The sequence below is a fragment of the Homo sapiens genome, chromosome 13 (assembly GCF_000001405.40).
Source record: "Homo sapiens chromosome 13, GRCh38.p14 Primary Assembly".
In the NCBI taxonomy this organism is placed as follows: domain Eukaryota; kingdom Metazoa; phylum Chordata; class Mammalia; order Primates; family Hominidae; genus Homo; species Homo sapiens.
Window position 1 is genome coordinate 25,550,656 of NC_000013.11, and position 18,483 is coordinate 25,569,138.

Genomic DNA, 18,483 nt, shown 5'->3' on the forward strand with positions numbered 1-18,483 from the left:
CCGTTTCTCCTTTGCTGTCTACATCATTCAGGATGCCACTCAGCTTTCTCCTGTCCAGGCCCTTCCTGACTCTTCTTGGTCCTGCTTCTTGTTCCCAGTTCTCCAAGTGAACTTTTTGTCCATCCACTTATTTTGAAACCCTCTAATGTTCTGTTTTGCATTATTGATATGTATGTGTTTGTGTATGTCTTTTTTATTCCTCAAATTCTGAGCTCCGGGAGGAAAAATATGTGCTTTAGAAATATCTCTGTGTATTTATTGCAGAGCTGTGCTATTATCGTGAAGGTCTTCTCTAGATTTTTATGGTATGGAATGTCTAAGTTTCTCTTGAATTACCAGTGTTCTGATTTCTTTGAAACTGGACTATATTTAGAACCTGTTGTGTTCTAAGATAAGGAAAGTGACAATTATATGCTAAGATATAATCATAAGAAGTACAGAATGAATCATGTAATGTTGGAATGTGTTCTTTAAACTGGTAGAGTATGTTGTCTTTCTTCATTACTTAAAACTAGCTATTGATTCAGGAGCATGGTACACTTTTGAATTGCATTGATTATTTGGCAAAAAAATAGTCTTTTACTTGTTGGTTGTTAAATATGGTTGTTTTACCTCCTTTCCCCCAACCCCTTGCCCCAAATCTGTTCTGTGACCCTTACTGACTTTCAATGCTGTTGTGTAGAATTCAACCAAAGCGCCTCTCAAGAGATCAAATGTTGAGAAGGTGACTAACGTGCAGATCCTGGTGTTGTTTGGCATCCTCTTGGTCATGGCCTTGGTGAGCTCGGCGGGGGCCCTGTACTGGAACAGGTCTCATGGTGAAAAGAACTGGTACATCAAGAAGATGGGTAAGTGTCGGGGTGGGTTGCTTGTTCCAGTGGAAGAAAACCATTTTTGAGATGTTCTTGCAGCCATGGTTGAAGTGTGGTGTCCCTGCTGTCCTTCTGTTCCCTTTGGTTACTGTACATAATGCCAGCCTTTCAAGGAGAATTGAGATTAGGATCATGTGATGAAATGAAGATGGGCACATTTGGGACTTGTCTTATACTCAAATGGTTATTTTTAAACTCTGTGTTAAAGTATTTTCTTAGTGGTTGCCCTAGGAATTACAATGTATTTCCCAATTTATCCAAATCTACTTTTGATTAATACTAACAATTCTAGTCAAACACAGAAATGTCACTCCAGCGTACCTCCATTTCCTCTCCTGCTTGGTGCTGTCATTGTTATATTCCATTTATCTGTGTTGTCAACTCCAAAATAGTGTTATAATAATTTGTGTCTCTTAAAGAAGCTAAAGGAAAAAAGAAAAAAAGTATATTGATAGTGTTTTTTGTTGTTGTTGTTTTGAGACGGAGTCTTGCTCTGTCGCCCAGGCTGGAGTGCAGTGGTGTGATCTCGGCTCACTGCACCCTCCACCTCCTGGGTTCAAGCAATTCTCCTGCCTCAGCCTCCTGAGTAGCTGGGACTACAGGTATGTGCTAACATGCCTGGCTAATTTTTGTATATTTAGTAGAGACGGGATTTCACCATGTTGGACAGGCTAGCCTCGAACTCCTGACCTCAGGCAATCTACCCGCCTCGGCCTCCTGAAGTGCTGGGATTACAGGTGTGAGTCACCACGCCTGGCCAGGGTTGTTTTATATTAACATATTTACTTACCATTTCCAGGTCTCGCTCTTCATTTCTTCCTTTGGATTTAACAGCTGGTGTCATTTCTTTGCTTCATGTATCTTCATTCTCTCCTCACTCCTTTGCACTGTCATATATATTACATCTGTATATAAGTTCAACAATGCAATTTTATGATGCTTTTAGCAATTGCTTTTTTAAAATTGGGAATATATAATTATACTATCTTTTATAAATCCTGTAGAATTATCATTACTAGTGTCCTTTGTTTTTGTGGATTTTAATTACTGTCTGGTATTTCTTTCATCCTGGAGAACTTCTTTAGTATTTCTTGTATTTGTAATTGTCAGGTAGATATTTGTTTATACCTTACAGATATTTGTAACTATTGGAACTTAGAGATCCTATTTAGAAACTCCTTAATTCTACAGGAGAACAAGAGAGCAAAGTAATATGTCAGGAAGAAAAGCAACCAGCAGGAAAAGTGGAAGGGTTGGTAGTGAGTAGGAAGTGAAGGGATTGTGGAAAGGTAAAATTACTGGCCAGCATATGCCTGCTCCCCCTGTACCTTCCCAGCTCCTTGTCTTTCCATCACAGCCACGCTTCAAAACTCTAAATTGGAATCAGACTACCACCATTTGATGTAATTTCCTGGGAAAAAACCTAGTAACTATGGTTTGGAGCCATTACAAATTATCAGTCTCCCTCCAATCCCAGCCTTCTGCTATCTTTATTCTCATTCTAGTTCCCTTCACAGCTTTAATATCAGTTAAACGCTGTTGCAACCTTCTCCTTAAGCCTCTTGCTAAGTTAAGAAGATCTCACTACTTTACCCTTCAAGCAGAAGATCATGGCTGTCAAGGAAAGAACTTTCCCTTTGATACCCCCAGACCTTGTCCCCCTCTCCCTCCCCCATTCTCTGTTCCTCCTGGAGCTGATGCTGCCTCTGCTGTGGACTCCATCCCCTAGGGTCCTGTTCCATCCTTAGGGAACTTGTTCCGTCCAGATATCCCTTCTCTTATCTTTAGCTGGGCTCAAGCCTTCTCTCTCTTTGTCTGCTTCTCTTGTTCACACTTTTGTCCATCTTTCCAGCTCTTTGGAGTATCCCCAATATACACGTACCTTAGTGAGCTTGTAGGTGTTCCTTACAACCATTTCAAAGGCCTGTCTTCTTTTCTACATTCTTTCAAGTTTGCTTCTTTTCTCTGTTCTTCAAAACTTGAAAGCAGCATTTCTTCTTCTGGATGGCCTTCAGTGACCATGCCTTCCCATTAGAAAGCCTTCTGTGTTGGTTCCCGCTACGTCCTGTGAGCCTCTCTTTAGCGGATGCATCCTGCTGTGCAGTCGCATTGTGGGGCCTGTGTGCCTCCTACAGAAAGCAGCCTTTGAACTCACGGTTCCTGACATGCAGGAGGTGCTCAATAACTATTTTAACATGAATCTCTAAATGAGCCAATAGACTTTGGTTGTGAACACCTTTCAGATACTCTGGTTTCCTTCCACAGACACCACCTCAGATAATTTTGGATACAACCTACTGACGTTCATCATCTTATACAACAATCTTATTCCCATCAGTCTGTTGGTGACTCTTGAGGTTGTGAAGTATACTCAAGCCCTTTTCATAAACTGGGTGAGTATTAAAGCAGAGTTGAATCACTATTTTCCAATGCTATTTCAGAGCCTTTGGCATTTAATTGAGCACTCAAAAAAGAAGAACTATATTCATTTACCATTAGGTCCAGGGGCTTAAACTGGCCATACAAAGAACTGGCCAGGGATCACCAGTGAGGGTGTTTTTGGGGAATGGAAGGGCAGTGGTACCTATTCAAGGCGTTGTTGTGAGGATTGGTCAGAGAATGGGGTGGAATGCTGAGCCAGTGCCTGTCATCTGGCTGCACCTGCTATTCACGCTTTTAACATCTAATTAAGGCTGAAGAAAAGGCCTCTTGGGTGTGTTTACTATAGTGGTCACTCGCATATCAAAATTCATTGTGATAGTCAACTTGGATTTGATTGTAAGGGTGGAGATAAGATATTTAAAGGACTGCCATGGCTCTTAAGTAGTGGACTTTAGCAGCCAGTATTTGTAGACCAGGCACTTTGATGTGCATTTTTATTTGATCTTCACAGCAATCCCGTCAGCAAGGTGAGAATCATGAGTTAGTCTAGGTTGTGAAATGATTATTTTGAAATCAAATCATATCTATATAAATATAAATCATGTGTGTGTGTGTGTGTATGTGTGTGTGTGTGTGTGTGTGTGTGTGTGTGTGTGTATTTCTTTTTTAGATGAAGTCTTGTGCTGTCACCCAGGCTGGAGTAAAGTGGTGTGATCTTAGCTCACTGCAACTTCCATCTCTTGGGTTCAAGCGATTCTCATGCGTCAGCCTCCCTGAGTAGCTGGGATTACAGACATGCACCACCATGCCTGGCTAATTTTTGTATTTTGAGTAAAGACAGGGTTTCACCATGTTGGCCAGGCTGGTCTCGAACTCCTGACTTCAAGTGATCTGGCCACTTCGGCCTCCCAAAGTGGTGGGATTACAGGCATGAGCCACTGCGCCCAGCCAAAATCAGCATTTCTATTAAAATAAAAGGGTTTTAGATTACCCATTCTTAGCTTCTTTTCTGTGTTAATCTGAATGAAGAATTAATGGTATATATTTTCTGAAATCCTGTCTCTTGTTCTCTCTCTCTCAGGACACAGATATGTATTATATAGGAAATGACACTCCTGCCATGGCCAGGACATCAAACCTTAATGAAGAGCTTGGGCAGGTGAAAAAGCCTCTGGGAACTTTGGGAATGGTGACACGAGCATGAGGGAAAATGAGTGTTAGCAGAAGAACCATGGAAAGATTTTGCAAAAATACTTCTCCATGAACATGGCTAGAACATCTGAAGAGCTATATAATACTTTTGAATGTGCCAGTAAATATAAGCGTTACTCAGTTTTGTCTTGCTTTTTGAGACACAGCTATGTCGTATCACCCAGAAGTAACCAGAAAAAAAAAAGAAGTAATATAAAAAATACAGTGCAACATCATTTGGGACGCTTAAAAAAGTGTTATCAGAAGCAAATAACGGGGAAAACGATGGCTGAGATACTTAGATATTGAGTAACCCTACAAAACGTGTGGGGGCCAATTTAAAGGACATGCATTTCTCGCATGTTCCGAATTTTGTCTCTGGAATATTCTAGGGAACAGTATCTTTTCCACCTTTACCCCTGAACTCCTCTTGCCTTTACTAAGTTGGGCTTTGCATTATGTCTGTGTCTGACATTGACATTCCTGTAAGGAATAACCTCTTTTTAAATGTTTAATTTAATTTAATTTATTTTTTCAATATTTATTTTAGATTCGGGGGTAAATGTGCAGGTCTGTTTTGTGGGTATATTATGTGGTGCTGAGGTTTGGAATATGAATGATCCCATCACTCATGTACCTGAGCATAGTACCCAACAGTTTTTCAACGCTTTTCCCCAACCCCATCTAGTAGTCCCCAGTGTCTCTTGTTCCCATATTTATGTCCTTGAGTATGCAATGTTTAGCTCCCACTTAATAAGTGAGAATATGTGGTATTTGGCTTTCTGTTCTTGCATTAATTCTCTTAAGATAATGGCCTCCAGCTCCATGCATGTTGCTGCAAAGAACATGATTTCATTTTTTTTCTGGCTATGTATTCCATGGTGTATATGTACCACATTTTCTTTATCCAATCCACTGTTGATGGGCATCTAGGTTGAGTCCATGTCTTTGCTATTGTGAATAGTGCTGTGATAAAGATGCTGCATGTCTTTTTGTTAGAACCATTTGTGTTCTTTTGGATATATACCCAGTAATGGGATTGCTAGGTCAAATGGTAGTTCTGTATTAAGTTCTTTGAGAAATCTTCATACTGCTTTCCACAGTGGCTGAACTAATGTATACTCCCACCAATAGTGGATAAGTGTTCCCTTTTCTGTGCAGCATTGCCAGCATCTGTTGTTTTTTGACTTTTTAATGATAACCATTCTGACTGGTGTGAGATGGTATCTCATTGTGGTTTTGATTTGCACTCCTCTGATGATTAGTGATGTGGAGCATTGTTTCATATGTTTTTTGGCCACTTGCATGTTTCTTTGGAGAATGTCTGTTCATGTCTTTTGCTCATTTTTTTAATGGGGTTGTTTGGTTTTTGCTTGTTCAGTTGTTTAAGTTGCTTATAGATTCTGGATATTAGACCTTTGTCGGATGTATAATTTGCAAATATTTTCTCCCATTCTGTAGGTTGTCTGTTTACTCTGTTGGTAGTTTCTTTTGTTGTCCAGAAGCTCTTTAGTTTAATTAGGTCCTACTTGTTGATTTTTGAGGACTAACCTCTTTTGAATGCCTTTTGCCATTAAAGATTTTGACTTCATTTCATACACCTTATTCAAACCCACCAGGAACCCTAAGGGGAGGGTGCTGTACCTTCATTTTATAGAGAAGGAAAGGAGTAACTTATCGAAGGACACCTGGTTATTCAGTGTCAGATTGGGGACTTCGGGTTGTCTGTCGAGATCTGGCTGTTCCAAGCTTCCCTGCCTGGTGAAGGAATACTACCATGTTGCATCTCCCCTGCTCCTCATTATCCCTCTGTGAAAATGCAGGCGACATGGCTCATTGATCTGAGGGTTAGAAAAACTCCCTTATGGAGGTAGGCTTGCTTTCTTCATTTTTCTTTCCTCGAGGATAGAGTGAATTCTGTGATGGTTTGTGTATCATTTTTGAGTTTATTGCCAGAAAACTGAGGTTCAAATTTGTAGACTAAAATAGACCTTTGTAGACAAAAAAAAGCAAGTGATTGTGTTTCTTTGATATAATTTTCCAAACCTACTTAATTTTTGTCTTTATCTTTCCTTAAATTGTGTATATTCATATAAGTGCTCTAAATTCTTAGTATAACAGGATGGATTGTTATTACAGAGAATGTCCTTGGCACAGAGCACAAATCCTCCCATTGCCTTTGGGGCTCTGGTCACAAAGGGCTGAATACAGCACCCAGAGCAGGCCTTGGACCTTGGGCTGTCAATCCTCATTTTTTTTTCTTTTTTTTGGCTTATGTTCTCTCATTCTAGAATGGCTTTGTCATTTCCTTTATCTGTTGGTAAAATCCTTCTCCTGTAAGAATCAGTGAGTTCTTGGTGCATATCAGGCTAAATTTGCCTTCTCTTTGAACTCTTCTCCAGTTTTCCGGGCTTGGTTAGTCTGTCTTCTATGTTCCCATAACAGTCTTCCAAACATAAATACAGTAAAATAAGGGGTATGAGTGATGTAGTGTCCATTTCTCTCTGGAGACTTTGTGAGGGCGTGGGTGTGCCCTATACAGGTCTTTGGTTGCCTTTGTTAGTTTAGCACAGTGTGCAGTATATAATTGTTTGCAGGTGTCATTGAACTGGACCTGAATAATTTAAGGATTGAAAGTGTTCAAGAAGTACCCATGGATGCTTCAGTAGTTCATCCTAATTGAGGATATGGGGAAAGTTTGCATGAGGAAGAAATTTTGAGTTGGAACTTTAAGGATAAGTTAAAATTTAGTAGGCAAAGTGATAGCAAATCTTAATAAGCCCTTATTATAAAATGTTCATTAAAAATTTTTTTTTTTTTGAGATGAAGTTTCACTCTTGTCACCCAGGCTGGATTGCAATGGTGCGATCTCGGCTCACTGCAACCTCTGCCTCCTGGGTTCAAGCGATTCTTCTGCCTCAACCTCCTGAGTAGCTGGGATTGCAGGCACCTGCCACCATGCCTGGCTAATTTGTTTTGTATTTTTAGTTGATGTTTTGCCATGTTGGCCAGGCTGGTCTCAAACTCCTGACCTCAGGTGATCCACCCGCCTTGGCCTTCCAAAGTGCTGGGATTACAGGTGTGAGCCTCTGCACCTGGCCTTTAGTTTTTTTATATGATATTTTAATTTTCTTAAAAATGCAGAAAGAATCCTGCTTACTTAAAGGCAGATTCTACTAAATTTTCCATACCCCTAGACTTACTGCATGTAAAAACTTGTTTAAAGTATAAATTAGCCCTAAGGTACGAGTATTATATGTAGATGTAGTATTTGACTTCTTTAGGAGCTTTAATAACTTGAAGTCCCTTTGATTGTTTTCAAAAAACTTCCCAGTGTATGTTTATATTGTATCATTAAGAAAAATTACTGAGTAAGCAATTCATGTAATCAGTCCCTCTTCTATACAACAGTAAAACACTGCTTCCCTAGACCAGTTCTCTGGGATCTCTGGAAGGTATCTAGCACTCAGCAAGTCCTGACGCCTTTTTGGAAGACCACTGAGAAACTGGAGTTTCCTCTGGAGGCAATTCTGTTAATTACTCTCCCTCACTAATCCATGACATAATTTCTCAAATGTTACGTGTAGAATGATGGTGCATATCATTCAGTAGCACATCATTCAGTCAGAGCTCTTATTGCAACTCCCTCTGCATATTTCGGTACACTTTGATTATATAATTAGTTATGGAAGAAGGTTTGTAAGTGGTCTAAGCATTAAAATATTAATATATTTTTTGTTACTAATTTGCTTGCTTTAGGGAAATCTACCCGTTTCATACAGGTTTTGAAAAATATAGAAGGAAAGACTTCATTTGTTGATCTTTGCATCTCAATACTTCCTGATGTATATTTCTTTTATTCTTTGGTTTAGGTGAAATATCTCTTTTCTGACAAGACTGGAACGCTTACATGCAATATCATGAACTTTAAGAAGTGCAGCATTGCCGGAGTAACCTATGGGTCAGTGTGTTTATCATTTACTGAAAATTTACTTGTATTCTTTCAAGAAAATAAGTTTATTTTTAGCTACTTAGTCAAATATCTTGACTTTCTGATGTTTTGAAAGGATAAAGTAGTTACTATGGAATGTGTTTGTAACTGAATGGATCCCAAATTAAACTCTGAACAGTTAAAACATGGTTTATTTCTGACTGGGTGCAGTGGCTCACACCTGTAATCCCAGCACTTTGGGAGGCCGAGGCAGGTGGATTGCCTGAGGTTGGGAGTTCGAGATCAGCCTGGCTAACATGATGAAACCTTGTCACTACTAAACATACAAAATTAGCTGGGCATTGTGGCATGTGCCTGTAATCCCAGCTACTCAGGAGGCTGAGGCAGGAGAATCGCTTGAACTTGGGAGGCAGAGGTTGCAGTGAGCCGGAATTGCTCCACTGCACTCTAGCCTGGGTGACAGAGTGAGACTCTGTCTCAAAACAAAAACAAAAACAGAAAAACAGCAACAAAAAAAGTGGTTTATTTCTGCAAATATTAACTTGGTAAGAAGTCCCTGAGAATCTGTAAGTTTGTATATCTAATCTAAGAATTAGATCAGTTTTGATCAGAATGTCTGTCTTTTGATCACAGTTTTGTGACCACTCTGTTTTCCGTTTCTCTGGCAGTCACTTCCCAGAATTGGCAAGAGAGCCGTCTTCAGATGACTTCTGGTAAGTAGATTCTAGCACTTCTTGACACTTTAGTGGAAAAGCTTTTGGAATAATTATTTATTATTATTCATTTACATTTTTAGAGACAGCCTCACTCTATTGCACAGGATGGAGTGCAGTGATACTGTCATAGCTCACTGTAGTCACGAACTCCTGGATTCAAGTGATCCTCCTGCCTCAGCCTTCTGAGTAACTAAAACTACGGGCATGCACCACCATGCCTGACTAATTTTGTAATTTTTTGTAGAGATGAGGTCTCACTATGTTGCTCAGGCTGGTCTCAAACTCCTGGCCTCAAGCTATCCTCCCGCTGTGTCTTCCCAATGTGCTGGGATTACAGGTGTGAGAAACCAGGCTCGCCCTGGAGTAATTTTATTAGCATTTCTCACCTGCCTATTTTTGTATGTAAATAAAAGTTGCATATATGTTGTTTTGAAAGAAAACCAGATAAAATTTAAGGATGAACATGGCTTTAAAAGTCCAGGGATACTATAGGACTTTTAACAAAAAAATTGACTGCCCTTGGTTCAGTGTTTCCCACTCACTCCCTATTCCCTGGAGGCAGCCAACCTCAGTGCTTTTGCTTTTTAAAAAATTTTATTTTTATATTTCAAAATAATGTTTATATTAGTTTTTAAATTAAAAACATTTAGGACAGGTGTGGTGGCTCACACTTGTAATCCCAGCACTTTGGGAGGCCTAGACAGGCAGATCACTGGACGTCAGGAGTTCGAGACCAGCCTGGCCAACATGGTGAAACCCTGTCTCTACTAAAAATACAAAAATTAGCTGGATGTGGTGGCGGGTGCCTGTAATCTCAGCTACTCGGGAGGCTGAGGCAGGAGAATCAGTTGAACCCAGGGGGCAGAGGTTGCAGTGAGCCGAGATGGCACCACTGCATTCCAGCCTGAGTGACAGAGTGAGACTCTTGTCTCAAAAAAAAAAAAAAAAAAAAAAAAGACAAATTAAAAACATTTAGACATTGTTTGACTTTTTACCATGGAAGGTGAGAGTTTATCTCCTACTCTTGCTCCACCCCCTTTGGAAGCATTTCAGATTTTCTGTACCTCCTTAGGCATATGCCATTTCAACCATGAAGCTTCGGGCAGGTTTTTACATTTTTTCCTTTTTTTTTTTTTGAGACGGAGTCTCGCTCTGTTGCCCAGGCTGGAGTGCAGTGGCATCATCTTGGCTCACTGCAAGCTCCGCCTCCCGGGTTCATACCATTCTCCTGCCTCAGCCTCCCGAGTAGCTGGGACTACAGGCGCCCACCACCACACCCAGCTAATTTTTTGTATTTTTAGTAGAGCGGGGTTTCACCGTGTTAGCCAGGATGGTCTTGATCTCCTGACCTCGTGATCTGCCTGTCTCGGCCTCCCAAAGTGAATTTTTTCCATTATTTTGGACATTCATTGGACCACCAGTGGGCCATTCTGTCTCTGAGTTTCCTCTTCTTGATTCTCAGAAGTGTCTTTGTATTATTTCTGTGATAATTTTCCTCCTCTCCAGCTTCCCTGTTCCCTCTGCATCTCTTGATAGTCAGATATTGAATCTCTTGGGTTGATCCTCCAGTTTTGTTATCGTTCTGTCTCATTTTCCATAGATTTTTTTTGTTTTACTTCCTGGTATTTTTTTCACCTTGATCTTCTATCCTTCGTCATGAGTTTTCTGTGTGATCTCACTTTCAGTTTTCGAAAGCATTCCCCTAACTTCGCTTTTGCATTCCGTGTTTTCTCTGCCCTCCTCTCCCACCCTCCCTACTGCCCACCCCTGGTGTTTTGATTTATTTTCTATAGGCTTTCTTCAAAAACCTGGTGATCATTGGCTGTGTGCTCATATATTTTCATTTCTTTTTGTGTAAAATATGTGTAACATAATATTTATCATTTGACTCTTTTAAATGTACAATTCAGTTGCACTAAATAGATTCATAATGTTTTGCAGCCATCCGCACCATTCATTTCTAGAACTTTTTCATCTGAAACCCTATCTATTAAACAAAAATTCTTCATTGCTGCCTGCCTCCAGACCCTAGTAACCACCATTCTGTTTTCTGTCTCTATGATTTTGCCTGTTCTAGGTACCTCATGCAAGTGAAATTGTGCAGTATTTGTGTTTTTGTGTTTGGCGTATTTCCCTTAGCATGTCTTCAGGGTTCATCCATGTTGTAGAATGTGCCAGAATCTTCTCCCTTTGGAAGGCTGAGTAATATGCGATTGCATGTATATGCCACATTTTGTTTATCCCACCATCTGTTCATGGGCATTTGTGTTGCTTCCACCTTTTGGCTACTGTGAATAACGCTGCTGTGAACATCGACATACAGGTATCTGTTTCAGTCTCCGCTTTCCATTCTTGGGGGTATATTCCTAAATATGGAATTACTGGGTCGTATGGTAATTCTGTGTTTGACTTTTTGAGGAAAAACCGTGCTATTTTCCATAGCAGAGCCACCATTTGACATTCCTGCCAGCAATGCACAAGGGTTTCACTTTCTCCACGTCCTTGCCAACACTTGTGATTTTTCAGGTTTTGTTTGTTTTATAATAGCCATCCTAATGGGTATGAAGTGGTACCTTATCATAGTTTTGATTTCTGTTTCCCTTATAAATGGTGATGCTGTCTGTCTGCACGTGTTTTAAAGCTTATACACAAGAAACCTGACTGCTAGGGCTGTGTGTGGAGTGGGGCCACTGTGGTTGATGACGGATTGCCTGCCTGGAGAATGGTCAGCCAGGACCCACTATTGTATTAAGGGATCCCTAGATGTCAGTGTCTATGGGTCTTTCTTGTCAGCTGTTCAGCTTTCTTTTCATAAAAAGAACTTTCTAGTTTCCTGCCAAGGGCTATAAATTTGGTTCAACTGTTTTGGAAGCTGTGTGGAGGCAGTGGGCCAGTGATTGTACCTTTCAGCTTATATAGAATTTCACTTAAAACCCTGTTTTGGGAGGATGCCTAACCTATCCACATGTGTGCCTGTGTGCCCAGTGTGCCTGGGCTCAGGACTACTCTGGTTTAATTTCTGTAAAAGATAAGCATTTTTTTTTCTGGCTGTGGAAGTTTCAGTTGTCTGGCCGCATGGGATGTGAGGATTCTTGAAGGCTGAATGTTCCTCAAGTGGATGTGGAAGCTGTGCTGTCTTCCTCCTTCCCTGTACCTCACAGGTGCCTTGTGCTGCCATTTGTTCCACCTTCCCAGCACACTGTTGAGGGCATCAGCTTGCATTTTAGGTGCTCCCCCTTGCAAGCTGTTGGTTACTGTTTTCTGTGCTGTTACGTATTTCAAGTTAAGACTAACATACACTCTGCTGTCATGTCTTCTTTCATTGTCTTTGTCTTGACAACGTTGAAGTTTCAAGAGGAGGCCAGGTGCGGTGGCTCACGCCTGTAATCCCAGCACTTTGGGAGGCCGAGGTGGGTGGATCACCTGAGGTCAGGAGTTTGAGACCAGCCTGACCGACATGGCAAAACCCTGTCTCTACTAAAAATACAAAATTAGCCAGGTGTGATGGTGGCCATCTGTAATCCCAGCTACTTGGGAGGCTGAGGCAGGAGAATTGCTTGAACATGCCAGGCGGAGGTTGCAGTGAGCCGAGATCACACCATTGCACTCCAGCCTGGGCAACAAGGGTGAAATTTCATCTCAAAAAAAAAAATTTCAGGAGGGAGTGGAGATAAATGAATATATAGTTGATTCTTCACATTTTCTTCAATGTGATAGCTCACAGCCATCATATTGTTTCCTTTCTTGTAATTATTTGTTGTCTTCCCTCTCCTACATATGCGCTCTGGCCACAAATGATTGCATGTATACAGTGCAATATTTACTCTTGTTTTATTTGCTGTGAGCAGACACTCTTAGAAGTTTTCTCTGGTGGAAGTGACTCGGGCCAACTGAAATGCCAGCCATTGTCTTGATCCCTGGCTTCTGTTTCTTCTCCTTGTAACTATTGTTCCTTGTAACTGTTGTTCTTTACAATAACTCGTAAAGTATCTTATTTATAGTAAACTCCAGGATTAATTGTTTTGAGGTTTAAAATAATAATACAGAATTTCAAGTCTTTAAAAGTTTAATGTGAATCCCTATAGGACTTTAGGTATGGTTCTTCTTGAAGGCAGATTCTTTCCAGGTTTGGGTTAGCTTAACAGAAACTTTTAAATTGAATAAATTTTCTCTGTTCTCTCTTACAGTCGGATGCCTCCTCCCTGTAGTGATTCCTGTGACTTTGATGACCCCAGGCTGTTGAAGAACATTGAGGATCGCCATGTAAGTGCTCTGTTTTACTTCGAAGACAGCAAACAGCTTACGGTGCAACTTTCTTTTATATATGCATGTAGTATTTTGCAAGTTGCAGTTTTAGAGCATGGGAAAAGTCTCGACTTGATGATGTGAGTCCTTCTGAGAAGTGATCTTAGACAAATGCTTTGTGGTGAACGCTATGCATAAATTAGTGTATTTAAATACTTGGTGATTTTGTAAAGTAGCACACCAAGATCAAGACGAGTTTTACCACATAATTCTGTAACAGTTCCAATGGCTGTTGCTTTGTAAAATTTCTGCAGTACTATTTTGTCACAGTTGTGAATCTAAGAGGCCAAGTGTAATTGCATATCCTTTGACTAGGATACTTTAGGAAACAAAAGTAAGATATATATAATAACAGGTGGCATTTATTGCATTCTACTGTGTGCCAGGCAACTAACATATATTTCTTTCAACACTTTAGTCAACATTTGAATCACATCTGGGAGGTGACAAGGAAGTTAAATAAAAGATTAAATTGGCGAGTAGTTACCCAGCGCATAAATGTAGAAATGAGCCTTAAACCTCAGTCTGTTAGATTTTTAACTACGACATCACACCACTTCAAATCAGTATTAACTGCAGAATCACATCAATTCACTGTTATTTTATTTGTTATTTATTTATTTTTAATTTTTCTATAAGGGAAAAATTGTATTGAGGAACAGGTGGTATTTGGTTACATGAGTAAGTTCTTTAGTGGTGATGTGTGAGATTTTGTGAGATTGTGGTGCACCCGTCACCTGAGCAGTATACACTGCACCATATTTGTAGTATTTTATCCCTTGCCTCCCTCCCACCCTTCCCCCAAAGTCCCCAAAGTCCGTTGTATCATTCTTATGCCTTTGCGTCCTCATAGTTTAGCTCCCACATTTCAGTGAGAACACATGATGTTTGGTTTTCCATTCCTGAGTTACTTCACTTAGAATAATAGTCTCCAATCTCATCCAGGTCACTGCAAATGCTGTTAATTCATTCATTTTTATGGCCACGTGGTATTCCATCATCTCTCTCTTTATATGTATGTATATGTGTATATATTATATATGTATATATTACAGTTTCTTTATCCACTCATTGATTGATGGGCATTTGGGTTGGTTCCACAATTCACAGTTGTGAATTGTACTGCTATAAACATGTGTGTGCAAGTATTTTTTCCTCTGGGTAGATACCTAGTAGTGGGATTGCTGGATCAAATGGTAGTTCTACTTTTAGTTCTGTAAAGAATCTCTGCACTGTTTTCCATAGTGGCTGTTCTAGTTTACACTCCCACCAGCAGTGCAGAAGTGTTTCCTGATCACCGCATCCATGCCAACATCTACTGTTTTTGATTTTTTGGTTATGGCCATTCTTGCAGGAGTAAGGTGGTATTGCGTTGTGGTTTTGATTCACATTTCCTTGATCATCAGTGATGTTGAGCATTTTGTCATATGTTTGTTGGCCATTTGTATATCTTCTTTTAAGAATTGTCTATTCATTTTCTTAGCCCACTTTTTGATGAGATTGTTTGTTTTTTTCTTACTGATTTGTTTGAGTTTGTTGTAGTTTCTGGATATTAGTCCTTTGTCAGATGCATAGATTGTGAAGATTTTCTCCCACTCTGTGGGTTGTCTGTTTACTCTGCTGACTGTTCCTTTTGCTGTGCAAAAGCTCTTTAGTTTAATTAGGTCCCAGCTGTTTATCTTTGTTTTTATCACATTTTTTTTTATTGCATTTGCTTTTGGGTTCTTGGTCATGAAATCCTTGCCTAAGCCAATGTCTAGAAGGGTAATTCACTGTTATTTTAAAGGCTACTCTGAAAAATGCCAACTTAGAAAATTATTCAATGATCAAAACATTTCACAACTAGTTAAGTCAGTATAAATTAGATGTAATATGATTAATTTTTTTTTCTGAAAAAATTTCTAGATTTAAAATTAGGTAAACATGAGCAAAATTAAAAGTTTATCTTTCCAAATTTCCAAAATTTTAAGAGACAGATATATTTAAAACTTTTTCTAAGTTTTCATGAGGAAATCCTACTTTTCTCTATTGAAGTTAGTGCCCATTTGTTGCTAGCTCTTCTGAAATGTGAGTGTATAAGGCTCGCACACCCACAGGCTGTGATGCTGCTATTCCGACTCAGTTCTTGGTGATGCTGATGAAGTGGTCCAAGCCCACAGAGGATGCTGCTGGAGTCTATGTTCTGTTTCAGTCACAGACAGCTACAGAATCCTTTCTTGGATTCTGATCTTAGAGGTAGATCCAGCTACTAGGCTGAAGATTCTCCAAGCAGAAAAGTGGCGCCTCTGAAGAATCGTCTCTGCAGGAAGGTGGTTTTAATCAAAGATGTCAAAGAAACAAGTGTACTTTGAGCACTCGAGAGGAAAGAAGTGTTTTCAAATAGTATTCAGGTTGAGGGTAACCACAAAGGTGGGCAACTGAATATGTCTGTTCAAGTTAGGATGGTGAATGGAAAAGGAGAAAGTGGCAGGGTGACATAGGAGCTCCGGAGACTGCTCTTGGTCCAGTTTCACGAGCTTGCTTTCCTAGATCAACGAGGAGAAAGTAGCAAAGGAAATAAGATGAGCAGCGTGTATGGAACATCACAGAATTCCAGTAATGGGCTAGGAATAGCAGCAAACTATTGGATCCCCATTTACATCAGAGACTCATTTATTTATTCACTCATTTCACAATCTATTTAAGGACATCATTTATATGAAATACCTTGCTCTTGGTACTAGGGGAAGAGACGAATAAAAAACACTCAAAGGATTCCTGTTCACTGGGGAAGCAGACATGTGAAATTCTTAGAAGCCAGTGTATGCTTTTGCAGGACAGGTAAGGTGCAACTCCCTGAGGAGGTGATTTTGGTTTGTGTAGACAGAGAGGAATCCCATTCTCTTTGGTGACTGTCATGGCTACCATAACTGTTGACATGTGAGCAGTGTATTTGCACTGACATAAAGGTGGGATGCCATAGAAACCCAGTGGCCTGGGGCAAATCCTTACTTGGAGAAGAGCTTCTCTGGGGACCCCCTACATGCTACTGGGATTCTAGTGTTTGAAAGATTTCAAAGCTTGGTTCAGTTCATTTCTGACTCTCACAGGTGTTCTTTCCAAAGCTGGCCCGGGACTGGTGTTTTGGGTCCCTGTGACGTTTTGGGGTTTTGACTGTTCATCCCACACTCTTCTTGAGCCTGTCCTCTGTTGATGTTTGAATGGAGATCTGAGCACAGCTAATACCTCTCCCATTGCCTTCCCCTACCCACTGCTTTTTCCTGACTCCTCCTTGGTGGCCATGGTGAGTGGAAAGAACTTTAGGAAGAAATCCCACTGTTTATATAAGTTAGTGATCTTTCTTCTTCTTTCCTTTCCTCCTCATCGTCTGCCCTCCTGAGCCAAATTTCTTTTTAGTTTAGTGGGAAAGCCATTGAGAGTAGGGACAGGTGCAACCCCTGTGAAAAGGAAGCCCTGCTGTGGGGACATTGTGATGACCATCCAAACACAGAGACTTCAAGGGCATTTTAATCTGGATACTCATAGTTTCAGTACAAGCATAATGAGGAATTGATCGATTGGTTTGGGAATTTATTTTCTAATTTTTAGTAAAAGCCTCCTAGCCTATGTGTACCATTTTTAAGCTTTCTTGGATCCTTGAGGCCTTCTGAGGTACTCTTCATCTTAGCTACTATGTTAACTAAACTCTTTGACATTTAACATCTAGCTGCACTACAATAATGAAGACCATAGAATAGGCTCCAATATTTTTCTTTGGGGAGATGTGGGATTGAATTAAATGTACCCATTGGAGGTTTTTAAGCAGTTTAAACACAGGGCCTATTAGATTACTTGTTCATTTTGCCAAAATGTGTCTGTGGAGAGGGAAGAAGTATTTGAGGATTTGCGGCTGCACATGCCCCACATTCTCATCTAAATTGTCTTGGGACTATTGACTAAAATTAAAACATTTGGTCCAAGAAAACCCTTACTTTCCTCCCAAGGGAATACTTCCATTTGCTACAGAATTTTCTTTTTTTCCTATGTCATCATTTCAAATTTTCTGGTTGCTTTAGGACTGTGTTAAGCTTTGTGTGGGCTGATAGCCAAGATGGAATTTGGCTCTTAGAGAATCAACCTATGAGAAATTTCGGAGGACAATTTATGCAACCCCCTGCTTACATTGCTAACCAGTGTGTGGGATAAATTTTCAAAGGTTCACCAAGGAAGAAGATATAACTTTCTTTTGAATCATTATGCCTAAGATTTCTGAGCTTGAGTCTTCAAGAAGAAATCACTTATATACGTATATGATTTGGATAATTTGTAGCTGCAATTTTGCTTGCAAAACAATTTTAAACATGTATCATTTTCTGCTATTTTAAATTCACCGAATAAGTAGAAAATATTCATTTCTAGATATATGGCATTTTGTACATATTATAAGCTGTTAACTGAAGGAAAAATATAGTATCATCCTGTTTCTATGAGGTACATACAATAGGCAAATTCATAGATACAGAAAACAAAATAGAGGTTACTGGGGGATAGAGAGAAGAGAGAATGGAGAGTTATTGTTTAATGGGTATAGAGTTTCTGCTGGGGAAGATGAAGTTTTGTGTATAGATAGTGGTGATGGCTGTGTAGCATTGTTGAATGTATTTAAAATGCCACTGAATTTTATACTTACAAATGGTTAAATGATAGATATTACGTGTATAGTTTACCACAATACAAATTTTTAACATCTAAGAAGATACACACATACATATATACACACATGAATATAAGCATCCATAGGCTTCAGATTAATTTTGTCTCTTCTCCCTAATTTATTATAGAATGCAATAGGAAGAAAACCAATGATAGGTTAATTTTATTTTAGGATTTAAAAAAAATCTTCATGGATTTTGTCTGGCTTACCATTTGAGGTAGAAGGCTTTATTTGTGTGTGCAATTCTTTATAACTCTTAGAAAATATCTCACTACTAGGTTTACTTATTTGTAAAATCTAAGACACTTTTTATGTTGTTTCATTACGGGACAAGGTTATGTTCAGGATTGGAAAATTCTCAGGTACAGGGGA

At 39.7% G+C, this 18,483-nt stretch overlaps 1 protein-coding gene across 13 annotated transcripts in view; it reads left to right on the forward strand.

The window, feature by feature from the left end:
• The window catches only part of ATP8A2 (ATPase phospholipid transporting 8A2), a 653,878-nt gene that overhangs the window by 178,682 nt on the left and 456,713 nt on the right, over positions 1-18,483 (forward strand). For all 13 annotated transcript variants that reach the window (NM_016529.6, NM_001411005.1, NM_001411006.1 and 10 more), the window contains 6 exons: positions 683-848; positions 3,138-3,265; positions 4,336-4,413; positions 8,318-8,406; positions 9,066-9,110; positions 13,301-13,376. In NM_016529.6, coding sequence (NP_057613.4) covers positions 683-848; positions 3,138-3,265; positions 4,336-4,413; positions 8,318-8,406; positions 9,066-9,110; positions 13,301-13,376 — 582 coding nt within the window. The remainder of the gene's footprint in view (positions 1-682; positions 849-3,137; positions 3,266-4,335; positions 4,414-8,317; positions 8,407-9,065; positions 9,111-13,300; positions 13,377-18,483) is intronic.